This window comes from Homo sapiens, chromosome 6 (genome assembly GCF_000001405.40).
Source record: "Homo sapiens chromosome 6, GRCh38.p14 Primary Assembly".
Classification (NCBI taxonomy): Eukaryota; Metazoa; Chordata; class Mammalia; order Primates; family Hominidae; genus Homo; species Homo sapiens.
Window position 1 is genome coordinate 143000201 of NC_000006.12, and position 23515 is coordinate 143023715.

The 23515-nt window shown below is 36.9% G+C and overlaps 1 long non-coding RNA gene across 1 annotated transcript in view, besides 2 other annotated features; it reads right to left on the minus strand.

The window, feature by feature from the left end:
- LINC01277 (long intergenic non-protein coding RNA 1277) overlaps positions 1-23515 on the minus strand; it is a 71162-nt gene that overhangs the window by 33780 nt on the left and 13867 nt on the right. The window contains exon 2 of the long non-coding RNA NR_038987.1: positions 21466-21753. This is a non-coding gene — a long non-coding RNA (long intergenic non-protein coding RNA 1277). The remainder of the gene's footprint in view (positions 1-21465; positions 21754-23515) is intronic.
- Positions 2538-3737: an enhancer, noted in NCBI's record as "BRD4-independent group 4 enhancer chr6:143323875-143325074 (GRCh37/hg19 assembly coordinates)". NCBI's record gives its function as "activates an origin of replication core promoter dependent on BRD2, P300/CBP, MED14 and CDK7 cofactors, and independent of BRD4, by STARR-seq in HCT116 cells {active_cell/tissue: HCT116}" and the evidence as "EXISTENCE:reporter gene assay evidence [ECO:0000049][PMID:35650434]".
- Positions 11718-11918: a silencer, noted in NCBI's record as "peak6176 fragment used in MPRA reporter construct". NCBI's record gives its function as "represses an SCP1 promoter by STARR-seq MPRAs in K562 erythroleukemia cells {active_cell/tissue: K562}" and the evidence as "EXISTENCE:reporter gene assay evidence [ECO:0000049][PMID:32103011]".

Below are 23515 nucleotides of genomic sequence, written 5' to 3' on the forward strand. Positions count from 1 at the left end.
CTGGGTGACAGAGTGAGACTCCATCTCAAAAAAATGACACAAAATAAAATAAAATAAAATAAAATAAAATAAAATAAAATAAAATAAATTAGCATGCATTATTTCCCCAAAACCAATCGGAAAAATAGACTTGTTAGTTTGCTGAGGTGTAAGGAATTGGCATTTTTAAGTGCCATTGATAGAACTGTAGATTGGTAGAGCCTTTCAGATAGCAATTTGGCAGTTCTGTTTCTAGGAATTTATACTACAGAAGTATGTGCGTCTTTACCCAAAGATATATGCCCAATCATGCTCATTATAGCATTGTTTGTGATAGCAAAAATATTTTTTAAAAAAGTATTTTTTGTGTCTTTTTCTCCTAGGAGAAGTTTCCTTATGGACCTGGTGCAAAAGTAGACATACAATTCTAAATTATGTGATCATTAAAAATTAGGAGAGAGAAAGTTTTTTGTATATTGACAAGGATAAAAAGCCATAATATGCTGCTAAATAAAAATAGCAAGTTAAAAAACATTATTTATAGTGTGATCTCATTTTACAATCAGTATTTTTATACACTGAGGAAAAAAAATGAAAAGGATGTACGCAGCAATTATCTTTGAGTGATGGGACTACAGAACTTTCATTCTTGCTTTATACATTTCTAGATTGAGTAGGAACATTTCACAATGAGCATCTATCATTTCTATTATAAGGGAGAAAACAATGAAGATTTTTTTTAAAAAAAAAAAAGAAAGACAAATTCTACAGAGAGTGGCATTGTTCCAGGGCTGGGTCTCGGGCCAAGCTTTAGACTCCGCTGCAAAGCAGTGGACAGGACCTCCCTCAGCGGGGCTTGTGAATAGCATGATTGACACTTTCTGCCTGGCCTGGGCTTTCATGCATCTGGCCTGGGTCAGCTGGGAACTCCCTCAAAATTTCCACCAAGGGGCCTCTCCACCTTTTGTACAGTGTTGACCATTTCTTCATTTTCTGTAAAGCCAGAGAGCCAAGAATGCTATTAGCTATGGAGGACTTCAAGCTCCAATCAGCTCATACTTCTCAGCTGTACGACTTTGAGTAAGTTATTTAACTGCCCTAGCCTGCCTACCTCAAGGGTTGATTTTGGAGATGAAGTTTAAAAAATACATAAAATTATTTCATGGACATCGCAACATAGTAAGTACACATAAATGTCAATTCACACCCACCACCTCTTCTACCACTTCTTTCTTCTTGTCCACATTCCTGGGCAGGTAGTGGGTAATTTTCAACAGTGGTTCTCAATGAGAGCTCTATCATCCCCTTGGTGGCAGTTTTAAAATGGGGAAGAGCACATGTTTTGGTTGTCGCCATGATAAAGAAGCTACTGGCTTTGTCTAGATCTTTGGCAGGTTCCAGGAATGCCAGATGTCCTACAATACATGAGACAGTTCCAGAGAATAAAGAATTGCTTTGTATCCCACGTAACTTTTCACTGACCCACAAGATATCTGTATAAGTTAAAAACCTGTTTATGCGGGGCCAGGCGCAATGGCTCACGCCTGTAATCCCAGCACTTTGGTAGGCCGAGGTGAGTGGATCACAAGGTCAAGAGATCGAGACCAGCCTGGCCAACATGGTGAAACCCCATCTCTACTAAAAACACAAAAATTAGCTGGGCGTGGTGGCAGGCACCTGTAATCCCAGTTACTGGAGAGGGTGAGGCAGAAGAATCGCTTCAACCTGGGAGGTGGAAGCTGCAGTGAGCTGAGATGGTGCCACTGCACTCCAGCCTGGCGATAGAGCGAGACTCTATATCAAAAAAAAAACAAAACAAAACCTGTTTATGTGATTTGAACCTGGAAGCTAATTTCATTTCATATAACAACATTGCATTTCCCAAGGAGAATATTGTATTTGTTTTGTTTTGATTTTACCACATTTTTTGAAAATCATATTTTTTATTATTATTATACTTTGAGTTTTAGGGTACACGTGCACAACATGCAAGTTTGTTACATATGTATACATGTGCCATGTTGGTGTGCTGCACCCATTAACTTGTCATTTAACATTAGGTATATCTCCTAATGCTATCTCTCCCCCCTCCCCCCACCCCGAAAATCATATTCTGATAGCAACACTACTTATGCAATTTTTGCCTCGAAATAAAACACACTTCTTGTATCAAAACATCCCATTGTATCCCATAAATATGTACAATTATTATGTGTCAATTAAAAATAAAAATTAAAAAATTTCCACCTCTAACCATCTGCCTCTGCAGCTGTCACAAGTTGGTTTGGTGCATAGGTGCAATCACCTGACAATATTCTTATTCCTCTGGAATACTCATTCTTAAACATTTATATAATGAAATCCATACTAATCTATTATAAATTACTTTTCTCTTATTTCTCTTTATACTAGTTTGTGCATTATATTGATTTTTTTGAAGTGATGTGTAGGTAGATCATATTATCCATCATTTTTATTTCAGAATCATAAAAGAAGTATTACAAACTATTTATTACCAAAAGAGAACATGATAAGATCAAGGACTGGTCTAGAAGATCATAAAGTTTTTCAATTGCAGCAAAAACCCAGAGGGGAATGTATTAGTTCGTTTTCATGCTGCTGATAAAGACGTACCCAAAATTGGGAACAAAAAGAGGTTTCATTGGACTTACAGTTCCACATGGCTGGCGAGGCCTCAGAATCATGGCAGGAGGCCAAAGGCACTTCTTCTATGATGGCAGCAAGTGAAGAATGAGAGAAGCAAAAGCGGAAATCCTTCAGATCCCGTGAGACTTATTCACTATCACGATAATAGCACAGGAAAGACCGGCCCCCATGAATCAATTACCTCCCCCTGGGTCCCTCCCACAACACTTGAGAATTCTGGGAGATACAATTCAAGTCAAGATTTGGTGGTGACACAGCCAAACCATATCAAGAATCATTTCTCCTGTGAAGTAGGGTGGGTTCAACAATTGCATGTTTTCAATTGTAGAATAGTGACATTGGCAAAAATTCCAGCATTTCCGGATCCTAGGTTCAAGATAACAGCCAACATCTGTCCATCTGGAGCCAGAACCAAGGAGGCAACAGGGCCCAGAATGAATCTTATGAGAAAAGGTCCTTAGCTCAGAAGGAGAGATCAAGTAATTAGTTTGTCCTTTCTAGTTTGCCAGACCAGAAGGCAGGAGATATATCATGAGCCTGTAGAAGAAGCGAAGGTCAAGAAGCCAGAGAGGCAAGTCCACTGAGGAGGGGCAGGGGTGGGGACAATTGTTGCTGGTGGTTAACAAAGTAGTTAGTTGGACAAGGGGTAAGGTAAAGAATGCGGAACAGGTTTAGCCTCAGCATCATTTTAATATGTGGGTTGGGACTCCTAGATCTGTGTCCTTCTACCAAACACTGAATATTTGTTGCATGATTTCTTAAAGGTGCCATCCAGCATCTGAAAAATAAGGAATGAAGTCATCTGATTTCCTCAAGTTTCTTTGCTAGTGGGCCAAAAGGTGGATAAAAAATATTGAAAATTGCCAACGAATAAATCATTATTTGTAGTTTGGAATACTTCGTGTTACTTTTATTTTAGTTTATATCTACTAGTGATGGAAAATCTGTTTTCACGATTCACAGAGAACACCAACGCAGAATGAGCTATGGTAACGGTGGTCTAGTTTCCACAGTTTTCCAAATTATGAGGAAGTGAATGATTGCCAAGACCTCCTAACAGGCTCCAGACTACAGAGAGTTTGCAGAAGTAAAATGACAACAACAGCGGCAAAAATAAAAGACAGAGTGGATAATTTGAAAACATTACGTCCATAGTCTAGTTTATTTTAAATCCAAACAAAATTGAAAGCAAGATTTGCTTAGGATAATGTGCAAAATGGATGCACTGTATCCAAAGAATAAAGCACTATTCTATTAGAGTGAGGAACTATATTTGGAAAAGAGTAGTGTTAAAAATAACCCTAAAGGAGGAAGTCAGAAAGGAATCAGAAAGACATTTTACACAGATCAGAAGTGAAGGGTTATCAAAGATAGAAGTCCTAAGACAGCGTATAAGTGTTCTAAAATATTTAGTCTAAGACACATTTAGACAACCTCCTACATCAGGAGTACCCACCTTGTCACTCACCAGACCTATCATCTTAAGAATTATATTATATGCGGTTCGTGCAAAAGTAATTGCTGTTTTGCCATTACTTTTAATATAATATATGTAACATTATATTTATCTATATTTATTATGTATTCATACATACATATTCATAATGATAGATATAGATAAAGGTAGAAAAAGAGATATATTCACTTATAAAAGTAAATCTTGCTACATGTTATTTTTTTTAAATAAATAAATAAAATTAAATCTTTCCAACCTAGGCTATGTTGGGGTGTAACTGGTGTACAGGACAGGCACAGCCCTGCCCTCACAAAGATAGCCAAGTCAGGGAGTCAGGCTGCTAAATGGGCAATAATAACACAGACCCATGCTGGAGCAGTGCATGAGCTGTCAGAGAATCTTGGAAGGGCACTTGTTTGAGTCCTGGATAGTCAGAGGGAGATTCCCAGAGGAAATGATGTCTAAGCAGAGATCCAAAGGATGAGTTGGAATTTGCTGAGGAATGAGGGTGGCAGAGGGGCAGGAAGATTATATCCCATAGAGGTAACAACATTTAGAAAGGCCCGGAGAGGGTAAGGACTCATCAGAGAGACAAGTTCAATGTGACAAGATCAGTGGCATGGAGTGGAGTGGAAGCTACTGAGGTAAATAGGAACCAGATCATAATGAGGTGTCTTAAGGGTTTCTGCATCCTAAAAGCAATGGTGAGATTTTAAAGGGCTTGAGCAGGGAAGCAACGTAAGCAGGTGGAACATCATTCTGGCTACAGTGTGGAGAACGAATTAAAAGAAAGAAAACATATATATTGTTTGTATAGTAATGTATCTATTCAATCATTATATGTTGCTCACCTGCCTTTTCCTATTTTCTAAATCCTATGTCTTAACTGGCCAAGGTGAACCCAACATATCACTGTCTCATAAGCATTTTTAAAAGATATGCCAGTATTTCCTGATTAACATATTAGGAAAGAATGAAACAAGAACTATAGATAATAAGGCAAGATTTTAATTGATAGAGACTCTTGAAGCAATCAGAAAATAATTATAAATGCAAGATAAAGTGTCAGCTCACCTGATAGAGCTAGAGCCTTAAATAATCTTGTATCTATAATATGGGTAACAAAAATTGTAATTCATAAGAGCCCATTTTTAAAGGAATCCTGGGAAGGCCTCACGGAGGAGGTAGAATTTTTGTCTGGGTTGTTTTTAAAGGATAAGTAAGTTTAAGAAACTGAGAATGGGAAGTAGGGTGGAAGGATCTTCCTGAAAAAGGGTCAGGAGAAGACACTATACATACAAAGTGTAAGTTTTCTTTGCATCTGGGGTCACGATGCTGGACAAGTGCAGGACCCTGACTGCCACAACTCATGGCCTCCGGAATGGAGAACAATCAAGTTTTGAAGGAGGAAGGACTTCCAACTCTGCCCTAGGAAATCTAAGCTCCCTGTGACAGGTGGCATAGATTAAAGTCTGAGGACTAGTGGCAGGGAGACCAACCTAGCTTTAACTGTGCAAACACAATGTGAAAAAGGCATCAACTTGGTGGCTCAATGAATATTGGAAGGAAAGGATTTAGAGAGAATGTGAAGTGAGGGAAACTACAAGGAGGGTGAGAGAGAAGAAGCCCTTCTGAATACTTGGGAATGCTAGTTGAAAATGGGCCAGTCAGCCTTGTTCTCATGCAGAAACTATGGGGATCATGCCAAACCAACGCAAATGTCAGCATAAGTATTTGCGTCTACTAGGAATGTGAGTACTAAGTTACCAGCCCTTGTAATAAACACAATTAACAGCATGGAAGCCATTAGACTGGTTCTTGGAAAAGGGCTCATGAGAAACATTTGCTTTGAATACTTGGCTTTAGTGCTGTTAAAAAGCAGAGCAAGAGCCGGGCGTGGTGGCTCATGCCTGTAATCCTAGCACTTTGGGAGGCCAAGGCAGGCAGATCACTTGAGGTCAGGAGTTCAAGACCAGTCTGGCCAACATGGTGAGACCCCATCTCTACTAAAAATACAAAAATTAGCCAGGTGTGGTGGCATGCGCCTGTAATCCTAGCTACTTGGGAGGCTGAGACAGGAGAATCACTTGAACCCAGGAGGCGGAGGTTGCAGTGAGCCGAGATCGTACCACTGCACTCCAGCCTAGGAGATAGGAGACAGAGTGAGACTCCATCTCAAGAAAAAAAAAAAAAAAGCAGAGCTAGAAAGCTAAGTTATTGTTATTTGGCCAGGGGCTTGTTTGTATGAAGTAATAGCAAACAATCTTAATGGTTTTAAATAGCCCTGAACAATTCTCTGATTTTGAGAAAAGCTAGTGAGTACATTGTTGTCTTGATGTAAATTAGCACATGGAGCCACAGACAAAGTTGTTTTCTCCACTTTCTCCTCTGTGGTTTCTGATAATTCTGCACGTGCTTCCCTACCTGTTACCACTGGCCAAGGAAAAGCCAAAGTAATGTGTCCGTTACAGGATTCTCTTCTACATACCTAGAAGCCTTTCTGGAAAAGAGTATTCAGAGAAAAATAAGGACGAAGCAAATCACAGGGCATTACTGGCTGGGAAGCCTTGAAACTTAGTTTCCATACTAACCTTAAGAAACTGTCAATTGAGAGGCAAGTTTCTGAACAAGGTAGTAATAATGAAAATCGCATTTTAATATTTCAGTATAGTTGCTAATACAAGGTAAATGACGGGAGGGAAAGACCACAAGGATTTACAGGAGGTTCTAAGAGGAAGATGTCATTGTGAATAAAATAGAAAATGAGTGGAGTTTGAGGTTTTTTTGGCGCCTAGAAAAAGAGAAAAGAAATGGTTACAAAAGGTGTCTTAGGTAAAGAGACACCATTAGTTGAAGCTGGGCCATGTATGGGAATGCAGGGCAGGGATGAGAGGTGTGAAGACACAGGAGCTACCACAGAACAGAGTAGTGTTAATCCTGGTAATTCTCATCCACACCAGTACAGGTAGATAAAATTTAGAGATGAAAGGCCACCGTATTTAACCAGAAGAAATCACTGTTACTTTCAAATGGATAGCCAATTTGAGGAGAGTCTAAAGGGGGGTGGGGGGAAATGTTAATAGAAAGCAAAAGGATAATGAGATTACAAATAAAGATATGATGAAGGTGTGGGATTTGAAGGAAGAAAGCAACAAAATATGGCTGGACCTCAGAAGATAGTGAGGTATGTAGATGAAGGATAAATCTGATTTCAAAACCATGAGCAAAGGCCAGAATAGCTCTGGTGGTTTAACGCCCAGTGCTTTTTATTGCTTTATGAAATACAAATTGTGAAGCCTTAAAATTGTATTGCGCATAGCGAAACGTAGGGGGAGTCACCTCGGCCCACAGCCCCTCTGTCTTGTTAGTTGTTGTTGTCCCATCCATGAGAAGGACAAAGCGGTGCCATGAACACAGGGGAAGAGGAGAGACCCAGGGATGAAAGCCAGGACAGGAAAGATGAACTCAGTAATAGGAACAATGAGGAAACAGTGTGGGGAGGGAATAAACATTTATTTCCTAATACAAACCAGATGCTCTAAATATATTATCTCATTCAACCTTCACCACAGCCACGAGGAGCAGATAGATGATTGAAGAAACACGAGGTTGAGGAACTTGCCCAAGAACACAGAACTGCATTGAAGTTGAGACTCCATTCAGAACCTAATAACACAACATTCTTCTCCTCGAGATGGGAAAAATAGCACTTGTAGGATAGAAGAAACAAGAAGTTGAAAACTGAAGATGAAAGTTATTACACAGAAAAAAAAATCATAGAAACAGAATGTTGAAAACATATTAAGCCACTAGTATTCAACGTCAAGGGTGTTATTGGACTGTTATGGAAACGCCCTGGACTATTAAGATAACTATTTAAGAAAAGCTAATTTTCACACATGGAATGATCGGAAGAAACTTGTACAATCAACTGAGACATCCGATGAAAACCGTAAATAACGAGGAGAATGTCCTCTTTCCTCTGGCATAAAAATATTGCCAGATTGTGGCGACAGTTCAAAAATTTTATGAAGGAGACCCCCCCCAACCCAGCCCTGGAGAAAAGTCATCCTTCCTTTTCTTTCCCCCAGCTCCTTCTCTCAGCCAGCCCTTTCTCAGCCACTCTGATTTTGGGAAATAAAAACGGCAGGAAATTCAGTATTTGCTCTCGGCATCACTTCCTCTCTTTCCAAGCCGCCCCCCACATTTCCCATTCAATCTATGAATTATAATGTGTATCCCCATCTCATGTCCTTGAGAAAGGCTTTCAAATAAAACAAGTACTACCTGTTTTGATAAAAGTATCTCCTTCAAAAGTTATTTTCTTAAATGTCATTACCTTAAGTCTACATAGGATAAATAAATCAATAAAACACAAAATGTCTCTTCCCTGGACAAAAAAATTCTGAAAATTGTTTATTTCATGAGAAATGCATGACAGATGGTATGAGTAGTGGTGAGGCGTTCAAAACAGAACAAAGTTTCCTACTGTTCTGTCAGATGTTTCCACTCTCTGTTCCATCCATTAAACGCTGACTTATTTTTCTTCCACAAATTCAGTTTGGCTTCTAAAAAAAAAATAAATAATGCTTTGGGTATTCATTTAAGATTTTCTTATACCTTTACTGGAAACCTCAATCTGAAATGTAACCTTCACACCGCAGGGATTAAGTGGCTGGAAGCATCTGTGATAACTATCGCAGCACATAAAAAATGATGCTTATTGTTCAAGGGAGCACTCAATTACCTATGATCACTCAGATTATTAAACTGGATGCGTAGAGTGGTACATAAGTAATATTTAAATGTTTCATGGGCTGGGCATGGTGGCTCACACCTGTAATCCTAATACTTTGGGAGGCCTAGGTGGGTGGATCACTTGAGGTCAGGAGTTCCAGACCAGCCTGGCCAACATGGTAAAATCCTGTCTCTACAAAAAATACAAAAATTAGCCAGGCATGGTGGCAGGCGCCTGTAATCCCAGCTATTCGGGAGGCTGAGGCTCGAGAATTGGTTGAACATGGGAGGCGGAGGTTTCAGTGAGCAGAAATGGAGCCCCTGCACTCCAGCCTGGGGGACAGAGCAAGATGCTGACTCAAATAAATAAATAAATAAATAAGTTTCAGGAAAGAAGGTTACTGTTAAAATCCCAAATGTTCAATTTGTTAGTAATGGGTTTGCTAAAACAATACCCATATTGCCTCAAGGATGGTTCTACGAAGCTTGTCTAACCCACAGTCCACGGGCCTCATGTGGCCCAAGACAGCTTTAAATACAGCCCAACACAAACATTTCATAAACTTTCTTAAAACATTTTGAGGTTTTTTTGCAATTATTATTTTTTTTTAGCTCATAAGCTATTGTTAGTCTTAGTGTATTTTATGTGTGGCCCAAGACAATTCTTCTTCTTCCAATGTGGCTCAGAGAAGCTAAAAGATTGGACACCCCTGTTTAGGCTATATTTTGGTAAACAATGAAAGGTATTCTCATAGACGTCCACTGTACCTTATGACTGAGATAAATGATGATAAATCATTTATAATAAATCAGTCATAAATGCATGAAATGGAAGCATTTGCATGACTTTATGCCCAATGTGCATGCACACACACGCACACACACAACTTTCAACAAGACATGATTAAATATGGTCATGTATGAACTTTGCCAACTCCTACATGACCCAGATGATCCATGCCTACTACATACTTCTCTCTCATGCAGTTTGTTTTGTTTACTTCCCCTTTTTTATTCTTTTGAATAAAATTTTTGGATGTAAAGGAACAATGAGCTTGTAGAAGAAAACTTGTAGAGATGTGGATGATAAAGTTTTCAACGGGCATTCTAGATGACAAGTGGATCATATTTTTATTCTTCCTGCTGAGTCAGATCCTTTATAGAATTGAGTGACTCCGCTCAGAATATGCTGATTTATGATAGGAACTGAGATTTATATCACTCTATTAAAAAGACTGTAATCTCTAAAAAGAAAATAATTAGGCAAGACGTTAAAAGATCCTAATTAAAAGCAAAAAACTTCTCAGCAAAACCATATCTGCTAAAAATCAGAGAAACATTTTCAAGGTTATTCTGGAAACAAATTGACTCTACTTGGCAATCTTCACAAAATGGAAAGTACTGCAGTCTGTCCTGCCAGTTTTCTTGTGTGTAACTGACCACTGCTAAATAAGAAACGAACCCAAAACTCCATTGCTTTAATTATTCGTCTGATTGACCAGCAAACCAACATTAAATATTATTTTATTTTTACAGAGGAGATTTGCAAAGTGGGTTGCCATCTGTAATTGTTTTTTTAAAAACACAGCATTCAGTAGTATAATTGGCTAAAATATTGTTGTTGATAGAATCCTAATGGTAATTACAAACTGAAAAGAAACAAGAATATTGAAATCTGAATAATTTAAAGCAGAATTTTTAAAGTGACGGCAAAATTATTGTGCTACTTTCAAGGCAAAGACTTGCCCTCTGGGTTTCTTTTCTTCAGAATTCAAATCTGTGACATGCACAGGTTAGTACTTAAGCCTTAATAGATTTAACTGTTAACTTTTACAGGGGATTACCAGGGAGTGGGTTGAGAAAAGTGGACATACAGGGATTATCTGTAAATGTCCTTGCAACTTCTCTGAAAATCTAAAATAACTGTTTTTAATGTAAGGATTATGGTTATTTAGAGAAGGAAATCTGGGAGAGGAAAAGAGCTTAGGGAGAGCTCCATGGAGCAAGCCCTGTTTGTATTGGACGGGCAGAATTAATACACAAATTAATGTGTAATAGTTACTCATTAATTGCCCTAAAGAGGAAGGGCATTCTAAAGAGAGGTAAAAACATTGAAAAGTACAAAGAGGTACGGTCCTGGCTAACCAGGAAATGTCAAACAGCTTTCACTCCTTCATTAAGTAAGGTTTAGAAGCATTCCTCTGTGAGATCTAAGATTTAGTGGCCGATCACCACAGCTAGGATTTTGTATCAAGTCCCCAAACTTCTTGTCAATTATACACTCAACCCTGTTCTCCCAGGGACTATCTCTCCCTGTCTAGTGGATCAAATTTTCTTCCTTGACCCATGATGGCAGACACATCACACATTGATACAGCTACTTTGACCTTGCCATTTTGACATGGGAGTATTTTGGCATACCGTTGCCCATGTTACAATTCTAATTCACATGACATTTAAACGAGGAAGTCTCCCTTCCTTTCTCATGGATTCCTGAGCATTTTGCTGGAGGAGTCTTAGTACTCATCACTTTTTGCCTTGAAATGTTACCCATGCCTGAAAAAAAGACACAGGGCTACAATGGAGAAGCACTCAGGGTCTGGAGTTACTGCTTACACCTGCCAGTGGTATAAGGCATGACCATAGCCATCTCAATCAGCCTTTCTGAACTGTTTCTTCATCCTTGTGATGATAGCACTTTAAGCGCCAGGTTGCAGTAAGGAAGTAATGAAGTCCAGTGCCTGGAATAAAATAAGTACTTAATAAATGCTTGCTGTTCTCAAGAAGTTTCTTCTTAGGAAGAAAGAGTCTGTCCTATTCATCTCGGAATCCCCCATAACCCAGTGCCTTATGCCTATTATGCTGCATTCTCTTATGAAAAGATAAACAACCCTTAGAGATACCTTTCAATCATACTTGAGAATTGTACTGTATTTCTTGTCTTTCATGTACAGAAATTATAATGTTTTGTATTGTAGCTATATTATCATTAAAGGGCTCTCATTGTATACGTTTTGCACAAAGAAACTGAAAATCCAAGGGGGTCATTTGCTCAAGGGTATGCAAGCTAGTTATTGGGCATATTACTCCTATGAGCTACTTCCTATTTCATAACAGGTCAGCCTCCCGTCCTTAGCATAGCTTTTTCCTTCACTCATATCTGTTTTCTCTGTTGCCCTATGACCAACAAACTCGCCATAAGAAAACTCCAGTCACATTTGCTGAATAGAAGTAACACTGTCTAATGCTTTCATTAAGGACAAAACACATCTGCTTCTTCACTCTATGTGAAAATTGTACCTAGTTCTAAGAAGATATGATGTCACAATATGTGAAAAGCATAACAGTTCATGGTAAAGGAACATCAACATTCCCTAGTGCTTTTAATGCAAAATTGTGTGCTGCTGTGTTCCATTTCTGTGATTATACATATGCAAGCTTAATGTAACTGATTTTCTTATTTGTAAACACTAGAAAATGTAAACAAAACTTGACATGTTAGTCACAATATTGAGGTGGTTGGAATGAATGCCTTAATTTTTCTATCATATTTTTAAATTAATAATATTTTATAGCAACCTATATTGCTCTTTAGACTTAATATGAAATAGCCCTTAGAGTTGAAACAGAGTAAAAACCTGAATATGGTGGAAAGCTATATTAAGATATTTTAAAAATTATTTCTAATAAAGTTTTATAGACTTTAGGGCATGTAGCATTTGTCAAATTAACTATTAATACATAGTAATTTCATTATTATGGATTCCCTTTTTATATTTTAAGAAATATATGAATGGCTTGGTGTAAAAGATGTAGAATGCAAATCTCATTCCTATGTAAGCAAAGCACTGATACACGCCTAAGTTCTTCCATTTGTTTTTTGTGTTTTGTTTTTGTTTTTGGTTTTGAGACAGAGTCTCATTCTGTTGCCGAGGCTGGAGTGCAGTGGCACTGTGTCGGCTCACTGCAACCTCCGTCTCCTGGGTTCAAGCAATTCTCCTGCCTCAGCCTCCCAAGTAGCTGGGATTACAGGCGTCCACCACCATGCCCGGCTAGTTTTTATATTTTTAGTAGAGACGGGGTTTCACCATGTTGGCCAGGCTGGTCTTGAACTCCTGACCTCAGGTGATCCACCCGCCTCGGCCTCCCAAAGTGCTGGGATTACAGGCATGAGCCAACGTGCTCGGCCAAGTTCTTCCATTTGACCAAGGTAAATCTGTTTACATCCTCCTCTTTCTTCCTGAAAAATTACTTTCTGCCAATGTATTTATTACAAATGTTTGTTTTATGCTTGTTAATTCTCCATTTGTCAGGTACCATGCCTTTTTGTTTGACCTGCTGGGTCCTCATGTAGACATTAGGGTGGATGGGTACATAAAGATTTTTCTTAAATTTTGAGTCATTCTTTGTTTCCTGAGGATAATATCTTTTATTAGTCTTCTGCATAAAAATTTTATCCTTTGAGCTGTGGGCAGCTTACAGAAAAAATGCCTAGGACTATGACTAAAATATTTAAAAACCATTATATTTTAAAAGCCAGTATTTTTATTTTTTATTTACATATTTATTTAATTGTAAGTTGATGGATTATAGCTATATATATTTATGGAGAATAAAGTGATATCATGATTTATGAGTACAATGTGTAATAATTAATAAAGCTAATATTTTAAAATTTATGAATGTCTTCTATTGAAACATGACATGCATAATTGGTGTCCTGAAATATTATAATTTCAAAAGAATTGCTTTACTATAACTTCTTTCATAATTTGCCTACACATGCACTCCTCTGCTTGATCTTTTGTTTCTGTTATGACAAGGGAGAAGTTTTTTAAATTACGTGTCATTCACAAAGAGTCCTTTCACACAATTGACTCTTGAAAAGCAGATACCTTCAATAAGTCAGCCAAGTAAATTCCCATGAAGTCAAAAGACAGAAGTAAATGCTCCCTACTCTAGTCCTTTCTTCACATACTTTTTTTTTTTTTTTTTTGGTTCCAAAACCTCTTTCTAAAAATATGCAGGGTTTCCAGGACAATACTTGATTCTGTTATTTCTAGTACAAATTTACAGGTCTAAAATTCCTTCTAGTTTTATTCCAAAAATGAAATTCCAGGTCTCTTTAATAAGTTGTTTTATATGAATTCCCTCATTCATTGATTTTCCTAACAAATTTTTATTATCTGACTAAAATGCATCAACTACAATATTGTAATCTGAAGATAAAAATATGAATAAGAAAGTTTCCCACCTTCATAAACTAATGGTGATACAGGTTTAGAATCATCAGAATGCAATATGATAAAGTGCTAACTGATGAAGAAGCACTAAGGAGAAAGAAAGAGATGATATTTGAACGAACCAAGAAAAGCCTCCCAGAAGTGTTGGGTCATAAAAATTGGGTAGGTGCTCATCAGATGAAAAGGAAGAGGATGGGCCTTCTAAGTGGCAGGAGATAAATGATAGGGCAGGCAGGTCAAAAGAAGAGTCAAGGAAAAATAGGATGTTGCCAGACACTAAAGGGTCTATATACCAATTACCTTGAGGACATGGAGGATTCATAACAGGTTTTCAAATACCGATCGAAATAAACACATTTAAGGTCATAACTATCTGTATGCAATGTATATTATTATCCTTTTTTCTGGCACATAATATTAATAGGTTGTTTAATGTGACTGTTATCTTTAGATATGACTTTATTGATGTTCCAACTTTTACACAGCCAAAAATGGTCCAGAACCATTTCTTGTTTGTTTAATTAATTATTCTCTCCAAGTGCCTAGTGAGTACTCATAAAATACTACACGACTACAGGAAAGCACTCTCTTCTGTAAAGAGTTTGGTTATTGGACAATCAAGATATAGCACATCTTTATGTTTATTTAATACTTCTTTGAGCGTAAGCATGCCTCAATGTTTTACTTATTATTCATTTCACTAGCCTGATGTGGTCTCAGTTCCTGTTTAGGTTTCTGCTCTAAGGAATTGAATCATAAAAGTGAAGGAGAAAGCCCTGCACAGGCTATGAAACATAGGTCAATCTTTGGGAAAATAGGTGTAGGGAACAGTGGCTTTCTGAGACATAACTTAGCAAATCAAAAGAAAAATAGACTTTTGCATTCAGCCTTGATGGGGTAACAGGACACAGATTTACCTTCCCACCACAAACAACTGGAGCATTGGACAAAATATATGAACAACTGTCTTTAGATGTTTGGCAATGAACTCTGCATGTTTGTGATCCCTAATAAAACAGTACAAAATAAAAAGAATGGTGCATTAGTGACCTGTAGCAAGCTAATCTAACATGTGTGTTGTATTAGTCTATTTTCATGCTGCTGATAAAACCATACCTGAGACTGGGTGATTCATAAAGAAAAAGTGGTTTAATGGACTCACAGTTCCACATGGCTGGGGAGGCCTCACAATCATGGTGGAAGGCGAAAGGCACTTCTTACATAGCATCAAGCAAGACAGAATGAGAACCAAATGAAAGGGGTTTCCCGTTATAAAATCATCAGATCTTGTGAGACTTATTCACTGCCATGAGAACAGAATGGGGGAAATCACTCCCATGATTCAATTATCTCTCACTGGCTCCCTCCCGTGACACATGAGGATTGTGAAAACTACAATTCAAGATGAGATTCGGGTGGGGACACAGCCAAATCATATCATGTGTAATTTTGGTTATGGGGAAATACTTGAATAATGGAATTTTTTTTCGTAAATTTGGTGAAAACTGTAAATGCAAAGGTTCAAGAAATGCAACAAATCCCAAGACAGATAAACATATACACAAGAAGACACAAACATGCCAAAGCCCATCATAATTAAAAGGCTGATAATAAGTGATGATGAGAAAAAAACTTTTCTTGTTGTTGTTTTTGTTTTGTTTTTTTGTTTTTTGTTTTGAGACAGGGTCTCACTCTGTCCCCCAGGCTGGAGTGCAGTGGCGTGATCTCAGCTCAGAAATTCTGTGAGTCAAAAGACATCTATAAAGTACTAAATGAAAAACACTCATGACCTAGACATATCCAGCAGAAATATCCTTTACTAGATCCTTTAAAAATAAAGAAAAAATATAAAGTTATTTTAGACAAGCAAAAGTTGAAAAATATTTGTCACTAGCAAATCTGTACTACAGAAATGTTAAAGGTTGTTCTTCAGGAAAATTATGTAATAAACTTAAATCTTTGCAAAGTATTGAAATTGAAAAGTACAGAAATAGTAAATGTGAATAAACAAATATTTTTCTCATTTTTTGATTCCTTAAGAGATAATTGTCAGTAAAAAAAAAATCAATATATTATATGTTTTGTAATACATGTAGAAGTAAAGTCTATGCAAAAATACAGGTTGAATATCTGTTGGCCAAAATGCTGGGGACCAGAAGGGTTTTGAATTTTGGATTTTTTTGAATATTGGAATATTTGAATACACATAATGAGGTATCTTGGGAATGGGACCCAAGTCTAAACACAAAATTAATCCATGTTTTATATACACCTTATACACATATCCTGAAGGTAATTTTATGTAAAATATTTAATATTTTCGTGCATGAAACAAAGTTTGTATGCATTGAGTTGTAGAAGGCAAAGATGTCAGGTATGGAATTTTCCACTTGAAGCATCAATTTGGTGCTCAAAATGTTTTGAATTTTGGAGCATTTCAAATTTCAGACAGAAAAGATGAAAAAGATGTATCCTGTTGTACAGTTCTTACTTTTCATAGGAAGAGGCATAATATTAATTGAAGGTAGACTGTGAAAAGTTAATGATGCATATTGTAAATCTTAAAGCAAACATTTTTAAAAATGGAGAGAGTAAGTCATAGTGCCAATGAAACAGACTAATATAAAATACTTGATTTATATAATAGAAGGCAGGAAAAGAGAAAAAAGAACTCAGAACAAGTGGGTCAAAGAGAACACAAATAGTAAGACGATGAATTTCAACATAACTGTATTGATAATTACATTAAACCCAAACGGTATAAACAGTCTAATTAAAAGGCAGAGATTGTAAGACCGAATAAAAAAATATGACCTGCTACTTACATACTGTCTACAAGAAATTCACTTTAAATATCAAAAAAGGATAAAAGTAAAAGGATGATAAAAGATGTAACATGCAAACACTGATCATAATAAAGCTGAACTGTGTCTTTTAAGATTACATGGGAATTCAAAACAAGAAATATCACCAGGGATAAAGAGGGCATTTCATGAGACTAAAGTGTTCAATTTATCAAAATATCGTATCTGTTATCAGCCATAACAGACCTGAAGTCAACATTCACTAATTCTGTGATCTTAAAGCATGTGACTTCAGCTTTCTTAGTCTAAGTTCCTTAATTTTATAAAATGGGGTTACTGCTTGACAGGACCGTTGCTACTAAAAGTACTCTGAGTTCTATGTGAAATATGAAATTATTTCTCTGCCCATTTTCATATGTTTATTTTTAATTTTTTAACTCTTCATTTTTAAATCATTTCAGGTTTATAAAGCAGCTACAAAAAATCTTTGTACATTTTCACCAAAATTTCCCAGAAGTTAACATCTTATGTAACTAAATTATCAAAATCAGGAGATTAAACATTGATTCAGTACAATTATTAAACCTTCTTTAAAGTTTTACCAATTGTCTCTGTAATGTCATTTTTATTGTCCAGGATCCAATCCATGATCACATGCTGGTTTTGGCTGCCATGTATATCTACTCTCCTTTATTCTAGAACTGATTCTCAGTGCTTCTTCGTCTTTCATGTTCTTGTCACTTTTGAAGGGCACTGGTCAGTTATGTTTAGAAATATTTCTAAATTTAGGGTTATTATGTTTTTTTATTTGAGACAGTCTCACTCTGTCACCCAGGCTGGAGTGCAGTGGCACAATCTCGACTCACTGAAACCTCCTCCTCCCAGGTTCAAAAGATTTCCCTGCCTCAGCCTCCTGAGTAGCTGGGATTAGAGGCTTGTGCCACCTTGTCAGACTAAGTTTTGTATTTTTAGTGGAGAGGGTGTTTCACCACGTTGACCAGGCTGGTCTCGAACTCCTGACCTCAAGTGATACCCCCACCTTGGCCTCCCAAAGTGCTGGGATTACAGGCGTGAGCCATTGTGCCTGGCCAAATTTAGGGCTATCTGATAGATTCCACAATTAAATATACATTAATTATTTTGAGTAAAAAAATCACAGGAATTATGCCATGTCCTTTTGAGTGCAGCATATCGGGAGACATAGGCCGTTGATTTGTCTCTTACTGATGATGTTAACTTTGATTAGTAGGTTAAGGTGGTGTCTTCCAGGCTTCTTTACCTTAAAGTTACTATTTTTCTTTTTGAAACCCTCAGAAAGTGTACCCTGTCACGTTTTCCCATTCAGCTTGGCATAAACAGAGAGAGGGAGGGAGGAAGGGGGGTGGAGAGAGAGAGAGAGAGAGAAAGAGAGGGGAGAGAGAGAACGTGAGAGGGAGTGTATTCCTGACATCTTTTTAGAGTACATTGTATCCATTTCTGCATTTCCATATCTTTTCTTAAACTACTTTAATTTAAAAAAAGAGATAGAAGGAATCTACTCTATCCTCATCCCAATCAAGTTGGAGCTAACTTAAGACTTGCCAAAGATAAAGAACCCCGCAGGAGCTGGGTGTGGTGGGTTATGCCTATAATTCCAGAGTTTTGGGGAGCCAAGGCAAGAGAATCCCTTGAGACCAGGAGTTCGAGGCTCCTGTGAGCTATGATTGCTCCATGGCACTCCACCCTGGGCAACAGACAGAGAGAGAGAGAGAGACCCTGCCTCTGAAAAAAAAGGAACTCCTCGGGCACCTGAATTGTGCTGATGTTAACTCCTGTTTCAGTGGGAAAGTGTAAGACCTGTAAGGGGAACAAGAGGAATATTGGTCTCTCCTTGGGTTTTTCTCCAGGTGGCATGTCATTTTCCCCTCCATCAGCTGAAGTCTCTCATTCCACCCTAGGAAGTTGTTCTTGAACTCGGGCACAGGAGGAGTTTCCTTTCTGGGATGTTGAGCAAGTCCATTTTTACCTAATAACTTCATCCAATATTCATTCTTGGCTCTGAAAGCTGGTCCTCCCACGTGGTCTGCAAAACAACACACCCTCATCCTACTCTGCCTGTTTATGTCACTGCTTCATCTGACGAGTGTTTGTAATGGTCACATCTGTTGCTTATCTGCCTTGTAGGAGGCAGTGGAGATGACCAAGGTAATATGCATTCAAAGGAAAGGAAAACATGTCCCGCTCTGAGCCACACTCTTTTTCGGGGGCACAACATCACTGAAGTCATCATCTGCCCAGGATACCTCATGATTTAATCATAAGAGATATCTTTTTACATGTAGGAAACTATAATTCCCGAAGAGTGAAGGGACTTAGTGAAAACACAATTGAAGATGTAAATAATCCAAACTTAGAACTCAAATTTCCAGATTGTAAGGACTCTGTTTAAAACACTACTGGCTCTCTGATGCCATGAGCACCTAAGAAAGTTGTATGAAGATGAGCAAGACCCAATTTCATATTTACACAAAATTGCAGTATTCTAGACACTAAAGTAAAGACAGAAATAATTCTTCTCATGGGGAAATGCATTTACTTAGGAGTAAGTCCATGTGTAACAATTTAAAAAATAATTTTATAGCCATTGACTTTACATTCATATCAGCTGAGTTCTAACCATGGTTTTAATTAAAAAAATAATATTTATTCTTTTTTGGTTGAAAAAGCAATACAAGAACAATGTAAAATTTGAAATTGTAGAAAAAATGTATTATACAAAATGTAAGATGTAATGTAAAAAAATAAAAAGCACTGTTAAAGATAATCACTACTATAGTTTTGGTTAGTAAAATCCTCCAACTTTTCTGCCTATGTAATATAAAAATATTTATATGTTTTATATTATTTTCTATATTTAATTATATAAGTATATTGATAATTTATAATCATATATTATATAATTATATGTAAGTAATCATTATAAATATGTAATTATCATTATATTAAAATGAGATTATTCCTACTTCTTTGAGAAAGCTCCTTTTTACACTTATTATGAAGCTTTTCCTGTGAAGTTATACAACCTGAGTTTTAATGAGTGTAAAGTATTCTATTGGATGGTTGAACCATAATTTATGTAAATATTATATAATATTTATGTAAATAATATATTGTTGGGATATAAAGTAGTTTTTTTTAATGCTACTAACAATGACCATGACCAGCTTGGGCAACATGGCAAAACCCCATCTCCACAAAAACATTTTAAAAAATTAGCCAGGCATGGTAGCATGTACCTACAGTCCCAGCTACCCACTAGGCTGAGGTGGAAGGATCAGTTGAGCCTGGGAGATGAAGGCTACAGTGAGCCGTGATCATATCACTGCACTCCAGCCTGAATGACAGAGTGAGACTCAAATAAAACCCCAAACCCAAAATGATTAAATTAATATTCAAATATTTGAATCTTTATGTACATTCACAATAGGTAAAATATGTACAAATTAAAGTTTAAACTTATTTACTAATAAGTTACCAAAATCAGGAGATTTTTGTTACATATTTCTGTATTTCCTCTAGAAAGATTTACCCCAATTTACAATCTTCAAGCACTGTCTGTTTACTTCTTTGTTGTGACTATGAGGAGTGCATTGGCCACAGACAACAGAAAACCTGACCACAGCAGTAAAAGTAAGAAGTCTGTTTTTCTCAGACCACAAGAAGGCCAGAGGTTATCAATCTTTTCATATTTTTCATTCAGTAGTGCTTCACATGCATTTGCCTATATACCACCTGTATTAGCCCATTCTCACACTGCTATAAAGAACTGCCAGAGACTGGGTAATTTATGAAGAGGTTTAATTGACTCACAGTTCCACGTGGCTGGGGAGGCCTCAGGAAACTTACAATCATGATGGAAGGGAAAGCAAACACACCCTTCTTCACATGATGGCAGGAAGGAGAAGTGCCTAGCAAATGGGGGAAAGCCCCTTATAAAACCATCAGATATCGTGAGAACTCACTACCATGAGAAGAGCAGCATGGGGGTAACCAACCCCATGATTCAATTACCTCCCACTAGGTCCCTCCCATGACACATGGGGATTATGGAAACTACAATTCAATATGAGATTTGGGTAAGGACATAGCCAAACCATACACATCACACCATGCTTTTTAAAAGTTGACATCATCAAATGGCTATAATTATACAATAATTTTATTCTAATCATTCCCTAATTTTCCTTTTTATGTTATTTTAATTAATCCTGTTTTGAACAGCTTTATGTATAATTTTTAGTTTACATCTTGGATTATAAGAGTCCTATGACTAAGGATTTCTACCTATTTTGATACCGTGGTCTAGTATTCTAAATATTTTAAAAATTTATTTTAAAATGAACTTTGTATTCTAGAATGGTCTTAGATTTATAGGGAAGTTGCAAAGATAGTACACAGGGTTCCCACAACCCTGCACCCAGTTTCTCTAATTGTTAACATCTTCCGTTACTATGGTACATTTGTCAAAACTAATGAATCAATATTGATACATCATTATTAATTAAAGTTCACACTTTATTCGTATGTTCTTAGATTTTACCTGTTGTCCTTTTGCTGTTCCAGAAACCCACCCCGAATACCACTGAGTCATCACGTTTCCCTGGATTGTCTTTAGGCTGTGGCAGTTTCTCAGACTTTCCTTGCTTTTGATGACCTTGACAGTTTCGATGAATATTAATCAGGCATTTTGTAGAATCTTCCTCAATTTGGACTTGTATGATGTTTTCCTCATGATTAGATGGTGGTTACAAATTTTGGGGAGGAAGAACACAGAGGTAGAATGCCATTTTCCTCACATCACATCGAAGGTTCATGCTGTCAACGTGACCTGTCATGGATGATGTCAAATGCGATTATGTGGCTGAAGCAGAGTTATTTTCCAATAAGAGTTACTCTTTCCCTTCCCTCCATGCTGTGTTCTTTAGAAGGAAGTCACTATGTGCAGCCCATACTTATGGGGGTTGTTGCAGGGGGAGTTATTCTCCATATCTTTGAGGGAATAGCTATACAAATTATTTGGAATTCTTTTGTACATGTTATTTATTCAATAACTCATGAATATTTGTTTTATACATTGGGATATAATGTAATACTGCACTATTTATTTTCTTGCTCCAATTATCCCAGCTGGGGCCATTGGAATATCTTTCTGTTGGCTTCTATATTCCTTTAACATACTCCGTTTTTGTTTTGTTTTTAGCATTTCCTTATTTGATGACACTACACGATGCTGCAGACTTGTCTTGTATATTTTCTGCCCCATTCCTAGAATCGGCCGTTTCTCCACAGAACCTGATGCTTTTTATTGGAGAATAGTATTACAAATCAAGATCTAGAAACTGAGTATGCTTAATACTTTATAACCTGTAATCAGCGATATTTTTTTCTAATTTTAATCCCATTCTCATTGCAATTAAAAATTCATATACAGACATGTAAAATATCTGCAATTAAGCCTATTCTTTGTGTCTTGTTCTCGACAGAGATAAAGCAAGGATGTTCTCAGGTATATGCTGGATTTCTTTTAATATTAATATGACTAAGGGTGATGCATGGATAGTTGCCTGCTGGGCAGAATGCCTTTTCACCCTTTCAGAGGTTCACCTGAAATCTCAGCCTCGGCCTCAGGGTCACCTCCTATAAGCTCTGTGAATTGCACAGGAGGAGGAACAAGGTCCACTCTGTCATTCTGCCTCACCTCAGTAAACACAGCCATGAAAAGCTACTTCTATTCTCATTTCTCTGACTTCACACCTTCCATTAAACAAACCCAAGATTCCACCTCTGAAAAATAAATTGTATATAGCAAGGCAGTACAACAGCAAAACAGATCCTGATTTGAAGCTCCATTTTGTACCATTCCATTCGTAACACAATTTTTATGAAACGACAAGACCAAAAGAACAAATTTAAGAAATATGAAGAACCACGTTCATTTTCATGCAGTCATTATAGGCATTGTCCAATGATCAAGACCGTTGGCATTGGAGCTAAAATAAGAATGGAGAAGTATTACAGTGGAGAATCGAATCCATCAATCACATTAACAGTAAATTGCACACTAATCCTTTATCTATTATTTACAGTATCAATAAGTGTATCCTGTCTAGACTACAGAGTACTTAAACTCAAAGGTGTCAATAATAACAAAGAATAACATTATTAAATAATAAGCATCAATTAAAAATTAAAATGAATAGAATATAAGAAAAAGCACCCTATAGATTGTGTTTATAAACCTAGCCTATTTTGTGAAACTGTTATAGGAATTATGATTTATGCTAGCTGATAAATCTGATTTTGACAATTGGGTAAACAAAAAAACTAAGATTTTTAAAATTAAATTTTTTTTGCTGGAAGAAGGATCCCTATATGAATAAAATTTTAAATTTACATAATCAATGTTTTAGTATTTCCAAATGTTTTATGTGGTTTTCAAATTTGTATCTTATCAGGGTCATGTCAAATAAAAAGAGCTAAAGTAAATGGTTTATCTTGACCAAATTTAACAATCATGACTTCTATAGCTGCAAACAAAGCTTATCCGTTACCAAATGCAGTGTAGAATTTAACTTATATTTAGATAAAGT